Source organism: Homo sapiens, chromosome 11 (genome assembly GCF_000001405.40).
Source record: "Homo sapiens chromosome 11, GRCh38.p14 Primary Assembly".
In the NCBI taxonomy this organism is placed as follows: Eukaryota; Metazoa; Chordata; class Mammalia; order Primates; family Hominidae; genus Homo; species Homo sapiens.
The window spans coordinates 111,504,899-111,514,734 of record NC_000011.10 but is presented as its reverse complement, the minus strand read 5'-3'; the positions used below and the strand labels follow the sequence as shown (position 1 = coordinate 111,514,734).

The following is a 9,836-nucleotide window of genomic DNA, read 5'->3' as shown; positions in this document are numbered from 1 at the left end:
CCCTGCCCCGCCCCTCCGAGAACCGCCAAGTTGGTACCAGCCCCTGCCGGCTGCCCTCGGTTTCCTAGGTAGGTGTTGGGATCCGCCACGCGCGTGGGGGCCGTCGGAAGCCCACCCCTGCGGTGATCAGGTTTTAGGACCAGTCCAAATCTTGGATATGGGAGAGTCAAAACGTCAACTTTGGGTTGTGTCCTGTCGGAGTCAGTGGGGGAGTAGTTTAGCTTCTTATATCCTCAGTGGGCTGCCACATCCTCTCCCCTCCCCCCAGAAAGATAGCTAAATAAACTTTAAATTCCTCAGCCCCATTGCCCCAATCCCCACTTCCAAACCAGATTGCCAGGGACAGCACCTGCTAGGTGGAAGTTCTGAGAACGTTGCGCTGGAGAATTCACGCCTGAAAGCCTAGCCCTTGGGAGCTAGAGGCCTGAACTGGGCGGATACGTGCCCATGTGTACAGTTTCTGTGATTTTAAAATTCTGAATCCTTTAAATCTTAGGAAACAAGCTGGATTTAAAGTGTAAGTGCATTTACTAATCACTCCCACTAAAAGTTGCATAGACTCCAACAGTTGTAAATGATTACTTAAAAGAAGGGATACATCTTAATGAGTGAACAGAGTCTCTTCATGGAAAAAAGAAGTATGAAAAATTTTGTTAATGTATTTCTTATAAAAGTATTAACAAGTCTGTGTGTATGAGTAGCTTTCCCGGGAGATTTTTGTCATGGCAGGAACAACTTAACCACTTCATTGATAGAAAAGTTAAGATTACTGTGGCAGGAACTGAGATGGACATCATAAAGTCAATTTAGCAAAGGAAATGGACACATAGCAATAACCACAATTTATGTCTTTATGGCACTTTATTCTTTCGAAATATTACTAACAATATTACTTTCAAAATATTACTAACAATATAGTCTCAAGAAGTTAATAATCACATGTTCATATAATAACATACATCAGTCAGCTAAGAAAAAAATCATATTCCCCCTTATATCTAAAATTTTGGTTAAGAGCCTGAAGGAATATTGAAAAAAAAACAAAACAAAACCCCACATACATACACATTACATACATTGTAAACTTAGTAGCTGAAATGTTGATTTTTTTCTTTTGGCTGAGCAATTAATAGGCAATGGATGAAATCAGCATTTTCCAACACCCCTCTTCCCCACGCACATTGATGATGCACAGGCAGCTCATTTGGACGAATTCCCAAATCTTTTTACCTGGCCGTGTGGTTAGTGATTGGTACTATTAGCAATCAGCTAACTACACTGCCTAGTAACTAGACTCATAGAAAAAATTGCAGTCTCAAGTTGGTACCCCAACACGTTGTGACAGGCAGGCAATTCATTGGTTGAGTTGGAGCTCAACTGAGTTGCTAGCTTGGTGAATACTCTACTAGACGATGGCAAATAGACACAGTGAATCACAGCATACAGTATTAACCGTTACATGGATGGAGGGGCTTCACCTCCAGGGATTTTGCTTTCCTGGCATGAGACTGTTTCATCTTCTGTGACTCCTAGAGAGAGCTAACAGTTTAACTGTATCTGGAGAAACCGCGGGTTTCCTCGCACTTGCAGCGGGCGCTCGCGGGGCAGGCTGCGCAGGACCCACGCCGACGCCGCGCTTCTCAGGCATCTTCTCTCGAAGGCTGCGGGCTGCCCGAGCCGGCGTCTTCTTCCCGGCCGGGCGGCGGTGATGCTGTGCCTTGTTTTGATGGCAGTGGAGTTAGTGATTGTAACCACCACAGTACAATCAGCTAATGACACTGCCTACAAACCGAGCACCGGGCACCCGCGGCTGCAGCTCCCGGACGGTCCGCAGCGCCGACGCGGGGTCGGGGCCCGCCTCGGACCCCATTTCACCGGGGGACGCCCTACCATGGCTGGGCGCAAGCGGCCCCCGAGGACACCCCCGGGCCCAGCGGGACCCCCGCCGGCCTCGCAGCGCACAACACGCGTAGCTGGGCCAGCGGGCGGCGCTGCCGGGGAGGACCCGCGCCCTCCCAGGCCGGGAGCCGCGCCCCGACCCCCATGACCCCCAGGAGTGCCAGGCCTCCCCTTCCCGCAGCCTCCCGCTCCTCTCAGGGCCCTCCCGCTCAGGTTCCCCTCGCTTTTCCTTTCCCCTTCGCCTCCTCGGCCCGGGCTCCCACTTCCTTCACGCCAGGCTTCAGTTCCCAGCCCCAAACCCTAGAGCTGGCTCTCTCGACCCCGTGCGCCCCGCCGCTCTGAGCGGCCGAGTGACTGTGGCGGGGGCGACCAACCGTCCTTGGAACCCCGCGGGCCGAGGGGCGGGGCGGGCGCGAGACGGGGCGGGTGGGGGAGGGGATGGGGGGGGGGAGGAGGCTGAGAGAAAGCGCTGTGGGCGGTCCCTGAAGGGCCTCCAAGGGAGACGCCTAGAAGATGGAGGCCCAGATTCTTGAGACGTTTCTCTTTCTGATCTAGCAGGAGGGACAAAGAGCTCCTCCACTCCCTCATTCCCCAAGAAGGCCCCCAGCCTACCCAGTTTCCGTGACCATTCCGCCCTGGGAAAGCGGCTTCCCAGGTACCTCAAATTATAGGTTTGAATTTTCCAAATGGAGGTGGGCTTGGGTAGCCTCTGACATATGGGAGGATGGCTTGGAGAGTCTCATCTGCACCTCTGTGCTCTGTTGGGGACTTGGCCTTATACTCTTAGAGGGCCATGCAGTGATGTGAAGCCTGGGCCTTCTAGTCAAATAGTGAGCCAGGCAGCTTGTTAGTTACATCAAATCGTGGTCCTCTTGAGATCAAGGCCATACCATTCAAGACAGTATATATATAATAAATTACTAAACTAGGGACTATTTAGAATAGTAGAAACTATTTGTATCAGAAATAGAAGGGAGGTCCTCAATGAGAGCTGTAATAGGTCAAAGAAGGTTCCCAGAGGAGGTGAGACTTGAGTAGATCCTTGATGCACGAGTACATTTGGATATTCAGGGTTAGGGCTGTGGATGCCAGAAAAACAGTATCTTGTGACAGTTGGGCAAAAGGGACAGTTACAGAGGACTTCTGGGAGATCTCTGCTAATAACTTTCCTTCCCCTCCTTTGCCTTTAATGAATTAATCAGGAGAGGATAAGGAATGTTCTCTTTATCCTCACCTTGTGAAATTCAGCTGGAAGCAGCCTCCCCTAGAAATATGGTCTTCATGCATCCAGTATAGAGCACCCATTGCTGACACCAAAGGCTTAGTTCTAAATTAGTTTCTGCAAAAGAAAACTTCCCACCTATAGATTGATTCCCTAAAACCAGCAAATGGTCTCATAGATGCCACAAGTAACATGAACAGGGGCAGGTCATCTGGATCATTCAATACAAACTACAAACTCACACTATTAAAACAACTAAAGAACTGCCCAAGGATGTTTGAATAAGTTATAGCATTTTCTTTGCATATGAAAGACAGCACTTTTTTTCCAAATGCATACTTTGTTCTGTACACCCCATAGTGAAGGGAAAGAAACCAAAATACAAAATATGTAGCACAGAAAATGTTAATTGTAAAAATTAACTCGTAGAATTAAATTGTGAAAGACAAGCCATCTACAATAACTGTATTTTGTATTCATCTTATCTTTGTGAGGGGCACGGTGTTTTAGCACACATTACATAAATGACTCACATTCACCTAAATATACATACATGAAACTAGGAGCAAAATAGTCTTCATTCCATTAACAATATGCAGACTTAGAGAAATCTTGGTTAGGAGATAGTTATAAAAATGATTCTCTTCTACCAAATTGTTAGTCACTTTTACCCAATACTATATCGAACACTTCTTCCCAACTGATGTTTTATGATTATTAGTTGCATCTTAAATATCTTACCTGAGCTGGATTGCTGCCATCCAAGGCAATGGTTGGGTCAGATGCCTTGAAAAGTAGGTTTCTACAGACTTTTCTTCAAAAGTAATAAAAAATAAAACTCATATGTAAAAGTCATGAAGATGCATTGCCTACTGAAATAACTTTTTAAAATGAGTTTATTTTCTATGTAGTACAACTAAAAATTTAAATAACGACAAAAAATATGTGTGGCCTAGTTCTGTTGAAAAAAAAAAAAGAATGCTTGTTCTTAGGGTTGCTGTTGATTTGGCCTGCAGTTACTAGAGAAACTCCAAGGATCTCATTCCCTTTATGGTTCATGTCTAGGCATGCCTGGAGACCAGGGAGACCCATGATTTAATCTAAGTAAGAATGCTTGTGGTGTTTTAAATGCCCACACAGAGGATTGCATTTGTTTTAGACAGTACAAGGAAGGCACCTTTCAGGGGAATTGTTTACTGTTTTAATTTCTGGGCTTTTGGTGATTAGGGAGATGGAAAAGGAGCTATCAGGAGAGACAAGGTTGATGACTAGGAGGAAGCCAAGAAGAGTGTAGAAAACAAATACCTTCTGCTTTAGCTTTGGCACATTTATATTGACTTAATTTACCACTTCTAGATACAAGACTAGATTGATGGGAATTGGGAATTAGAAAAGGTGGAGACAGGCCGGGGGTTGTGGCTCACACCTGTAATCCCAGCACTTTGGGAGGTCAAGGCGGGCGGATCACGAGGTCAAGAGATAGAGACCATCCTGGCCAACATGGTGAAACCCTGTCTCTACTAAAAATACAAAAATCAGCTGGGCGTGGTGGTGCGCGCCTGTAGTTCCAGCTACTTGGAAGGCTGAGGTGGGAGAATAGCTTGAACCCGGGAGGCAGAGGTTGCAGTGAGCCGAGATCGTGCCACTGCACTCCAGCCTGGGTGACAGAGCAAGACTCCATCTCAAAAAAAAAAAAAAAAAAGAAAAAAGAAAAAAGAAAAAAAAAGATGGAGACAATTGGAGACAACATATCCCTCCCTTCAATACATACAAACTCACCATCTCCCACAGCTTTTGAAGGATGTTGTTGGAAGAGGAAGAAATGAAGAATTAGACTAATTAGAAATTACTGGATTTTAGCAGCTTCTTTATAAACCTGTTTTGTTTTTGTTTTTGTTTTTGTTTTTGTTTTTTTTTGAGATGGAGTTTTGCTCTTATTGCCCAAGCTGGAGTGCAGTGACGTGATCTTGGCTCACTGCAACCTCTGTCTCCTAGGTTCAAGCGATTCTTTTGCCTCATACTCCTGAGTAGCTGGGATTACAGGCGCCCACCACCATGCCTGGCTAATTTTTTGTATTTTTAGTAGAGATGGGGTTTCACTATGTTGGCCAGGCTGGTCTCGAACTCCTGACCTCAGGCGATCCACCGCACCCCCCTTGGCCTCTCACAGTGCTAGCATTACAGGAGTGAGCCACTGCACCTGGCCTAAACCTGTTTTTTTAAATGCATATTTACTCATAGGAAATATAAAACCATATCTTGGTTTATAGATCAATAAATGTCAGATTATTAAACTTCTTGATAGTATACCTAGAAACTAGTTTATATGTTGAAGCAAGACTAAATTGAAGTCAATTCAGTGCCTTTGAAGAACTAAAAATAATTGAATCTATTTATGGGAGAAGATTTTCTTTTGAGCTAAAATGAACTGCCAGCGGTTTTTATAATTCCATATTTCTAGTTTCATTTCATTGTACTCTCATTAGTAAGAGTGCACCAGATTCTTAATTAGCTTCTTGTTTATATTTATTGATTAATCAATACTGTTGCTTTCAGTATAAAATGTTAATTTATCTTTCAGGTAAATCATAAGCAGTCTAACAAAATAGTCTCTATAATTAAAGTTGCCGGAGCTCTTAGGTATGGCTTCAGTAGGAGCAAACAGGTTGCATATTTTCCATCTTTAGAGAACAATCTCTAAGGATTTATGTGGTCTAGTTGGTGAGATGGACAATGTGTGTATATATAGATAATTAATATGTTAATTATATTAGTATGTAATATGAATATATCTTAATATAACTTATAGTAATAGATTAAGAATTCATGTTTGTGTTATATATTCTATTTATATTATATATAATTATTTAATATCAAGATGGTTATATGAAAAAGTGCTTCAGGAATCCTGATGACTAATACAAACTTCATTATTGCCAACATTTAGGAAAAAGGAAAAGGAAAATTATCAAAGGTTAGGACACAGAGAAGGCTATATGGAAAAGATGAGCCTAGAAGCAAAAATACTAGAGATGAAGAGGGAATGTTTTGGTAGCAGGAGCAATTTGTGAAGGAAAAACACAAGCAAATTTATGGAGATTGTAATGTATAAGGCCAATTGGAAGAGCAATGAGTGTGTTCCCATTGGGGAAATAAGATTAAAGAGGACTTTAACATTTAAAGTCCTCCATGATCCTACTTACCTGCCTGCTCATACGTTTCTGTGAAGTTCACCAAAAAAAAAAAAGCCCAGGGAGTTTCAATTTCATTATTCTGCTCAAGGAGCCCCAGATGTATACAATGTGTTGTTTTATAAGGATTCATAAAGTAGCATAGATTAGAAGAGGGAGAGACAGAGGAGACTGAAAGACCATTTAGGAGATTAGTAAATTTCAGTACGAGGTGATGTAGAAAATATGGGATGAAGAGAGAAACTTTGTGAAGGAAACTTTGCATGACTTGGTTGATAACTGGTTCAAGTGAACAAACGGAATAAGATTAACTTCCAGACTTCGACGAAAAGTAGAGGTGTTGAGGGGGAAAATCTAGTCAGAGAATAATTGTGATTTTAGGTATAGGCATGTTTAGTTTTAGGTCATGGAAGAATATTGTGGTGGAGTTAGATATGTGGAGTTAGAACTCTGGTAGGAGGCCAGAACTGAAAAGAGATTGAAGCTCTTTTATCCTCTTGATAGTTGAAGTCACGAGGAGTTCTCCAAGAAAGGTCTGCTGGCTGATTCTTCATTGACCTACCAGTCCCTGCTATCAAGGACACTAGAGTAGGTGATGACGGTAATGTATTAATCTCGAATAGAAAATAGAATGAGGAAAACAGAAGGCTCAGGATCAAATCTGAGAGGATCCCTCTCCTCTTTAGGGGCTGACAGGAGGAAGTAGATCTTGGGAAGGGTTAGCCCACAGGAAGCAGAAGAGAGGACTCTCACAAAAACCAAGCTATTTTAAAATTCATACGCTTACGAATTCAAGAGAATCTGCTGCATTGGCACCACCACATCACCAAGGTTTGGTCAGTAAAGAATTAGCCATAGGCAGCAGATGATTGGACTGGCTCTACCAGATTTTTTTGTCCAGGGCTTTATTCATTGAGTCAATGAAGGATCAATGATCTTCTGTAGGCTAGAACTAAACAGATGAACTTTCTTGGCCTTGTCCTACTACTGATTGGCCTCTGTCATCTCTCTTAAAAAAATAAAAAATGAAAAACAATAAAAAACAAAAAAACAAAAAACAAAAACCCTCAGATTTTCAGGTTTATAAAAGTAATTTTAAGGTTTCAATAAGCTAGTTAGTAGTCTGCACAGCTGAAGAAAGTTAATAAACTTTCCCCTTCTTAAGAGCTCTAGGGTGTATTCTGTAACTCTATTAAGCCAAAAGGAGAAAACAGACTGATTATCCTGCTAATTAATTGATTTACAAGAATGAAAATACTTTATGCCATCCTCTTAAACATCACTCTGTGTCTGCTTATTCTTGTTTTTATTTCCACAGTCCTCATTTGGCACTTAAGCTTTTTTTTTTTAAAGTGGGAAACTTATATTTAGTTAAAAAATTTACATAATCCTCATTTGTTATCTTTATTTCCTCTATATTCATAGAATATATCTCAAGGATTTCATCATGCTTACATTTAGTAAAGTTCACATTGTCCTTTCTGCTCTTAGCTCCTCTATAGTTTCTTGAAATCTCAAGCTCAAATTCTACTTCCTGGGTAAAATCTTCCCTAGTACCTTTAGTTCTTCCTGATCCTTTCTCTTCTCTAATCACTTTGACACTTAATATAGTCACTCTAAAATTAGTATGTTCCATTAATAAGAGAGTATTATTCTATATTCTAATTGTATTTTGAATTCAGCATTTTATTATAATGGTATAGAGTGCTGATACATATACACATATTTATATTAGTATAGAGTGTTGCACATAGGAACATTTTCTTACACTCTGAATTAATTTTAGTGAGTTATCTTGGTTTCTTTTTTTAAGGGGTACATATTCTTGTTTGTTACATGGGTATTACATGCATAATGTTGCGTGTTGGGCTTCTGCTGTACTTATCACCCCAGTATTAGGCATTGTATCCAGTAGGTAATTTTTCAACCCTCCCCACCCACCTTTGGAGTCCCCAGAGTCTATTTTCTCTATTTTCATTTCCACATGTACCATTTCTTTAGCTCCCACTTACAAGTGAGAATACGTAATATTTTATTTTCTGCTTCTGGGTTAGTTGACTTTGGGTAATGGCCTCCAGCTCCATCCATGTTGCTGCAAAGGACATGATTTCATTCTTCTTTTATGATTGTGTAGTATTCCATTGTGTATATATACACCATATTTTCTTTATCCAGTCAACAGTTGGCAGACATGTAGGTGGATTCCATGACTTTGCTCTAATTGTAAATGGTGCTGCAATAAACACACAAGTACAAGTATCTTTTTGATATAATGATTTCTTTTCCTTTGGGTAGATACCCAGTAGTGGGATTGCTGGGTCGAATGATAGTTCTATTTTTAGTTATTTGAGATATCGCTATACCGTTTTCCATAGAGGTTGAATTAATTTACATTCCCACCAACAGTGTGTGAGTATTCCCTTTTCTCTGCATACACACCAATATCTGTTGTTTTTTGACTTTTTAATAAAAGCCATTCTGACTGGAGTGAGATGGTATCTCAATGTGGTTTTAATTTGCATTTCTCTGATGATTAGTGATGTTGAGCATTTTTTCATATGTTTGTTAGCTGTTTGTATTTCTTCTTCTGAGAAATGTCTGTTCATGTTCTTTGCCCCATTTTCAATTGGTTTGTTTTATGTTTGTTGAGTTGTTTGAATTTCTTGTAGATTCTGAATACTAATTCTTTGTTGGAGGTATAATTTGTAAATATTTTCTCCCATTCTGTGAGTTGTCTTTTTATCCTATTGATTATTTGTTTTGCTGTGCAGAAACTTTTAGTTTATGTCCTATTTCTCTATCTTCGTTTTTTATTGCGTTTGTGTTTGGAATCTTCATCATAAATTATTTGCCTAAGCCGATGTCCATAAGGAGTTTTCCTAGGTTTTCTTTTAGGATTTTTATAGTTTCAGTTTTGATAGTTTTACATTTAGGTCTTTAATCCATCTATAGTTAATTTTGTATATGTTAAGAGATGGGGAATTAGTTTCAGTCTTCTGCATATGGCTAGCCAGTTTTTCCAGCATCATTTATTGAATAGGGTGTCTATTTCCCATTGTTTATTTCTGTTGACTTTAATCGAAGATCAATTGGTTGTATATATGTAGCTTTATTTCTAGGTTAGAGAACCCCATACTGTACCATTAATCTCTGGGTTTATTTTTGTACTAGTACCATGCGATTTTAGTTACTATAGCCTTGTAGTATAATTTGAAGTCAGGCAATATAATGCCTCTGACTCTGTTCTTTTTGCTTGGGAGTTCCTTGGCTATTTGGGCTTTTTTTGGTTCCCTATGAACTTTAGGACTGTTTTTCCTAATTCTGTGAAAAACAAGGCTGGTAATTGGATAGGGATTGCATTGAATCTGTAGATTGCTTGGGTAATATGGTTATTTTAACCATATTAATTCTTCCAATTCATAGCATGGAATGTTTTTCCATTTATTTGTGTCATCTACAATTTCTTTCATCAGTGTTTTGTAGTTCTCCTTGTAGAGATCTTTCACCTCCTTGGTTAAATGTGT

General features: G+C 40.6%; 1 protein-coding gene, 1 long non-coding RNA gene and 2 other non-coding genes across 24 annotated transcripts in view, besides 1 other annotated feature; 1 reads left to right on the top strand and 3 right to left on the bottom strand.

Moving 5' to 3' along the window:
• The first annotated feature begins 9 nt into the window (after nucleotides 1–9).
• Nucleotides 10–9,836, top strand: part of BTG4 (BTG anti-proliferation factor 4) — a 130,900-nt gene continuing 121,073 nt past the window's right edge. For 16 of the 21 annotated variants that reach the window (XR_947835.3, XR_947834.3, XR_947852.3 and 13 more), the window contains exon 1: nucleotides 2,349–2,554. The gene's annotated coding sequence lies outside the window, so the exon portion shown is untranslated. Of the gene's footprint in view, nucleotides 518–2,348; nucleotides 2,555–6,816; nucleotides 6,914–9,836 lie in introns of those variants that run through there. The other 5 variants (XM_024448589.2, NM_001367974.1, XM_024448588.2 and 2 more) reach the window with 4 other exon arrangements.
• Nucleotides 847–4,133, bottom strand: MIR34BHG (MIR34B and MIR34C host gene). Its single transcript, NR_147706.1, has 2 exons — nucleotides 3,863–4,133; nucleotides 847–1,717 (listed from the first exon to the last, which is right to left on the bottom strand). It is a non-coding gene; the product is annotated as an MIR34B and MIR34C host gene (long non-coding RNA).
• MIR34C (microRNA 34c) lies at nucleotides 1,220–1,296 on the bottom strand. Its single transcript, NR_029840.1, has one exon. It is a non-coding gene; the product is annotated as a microRNA 34c (primary transcript).
• Nucleotides 1,714–1,797, bottom strand: MIR34B (microRNA 34b). The gene has a single exon (NR_029839.1). It is a non-coding gene; the product is annotated as a microRNA 34b (primary transcript).
• Nucleotides 3,494–4,693: an enhancer, noted in NCBI's record as "MED14-independent group 3 enhancer chr11:111380767-111381966 (GRCh37/hg19 assembly coordinates)". NCBI's record gives its function as "activates an origin of replication core promoter dependent on BRD2, BRD4, P300/CBP and CDK7 cofactors, and independent of MED14, by STARR-seq in HCT116 cells {active_cell/tissue: HCT116}" and the evidence as "EXISTENCE:reporter gene assay evidence [ECO:0000049][PMID:35650434]".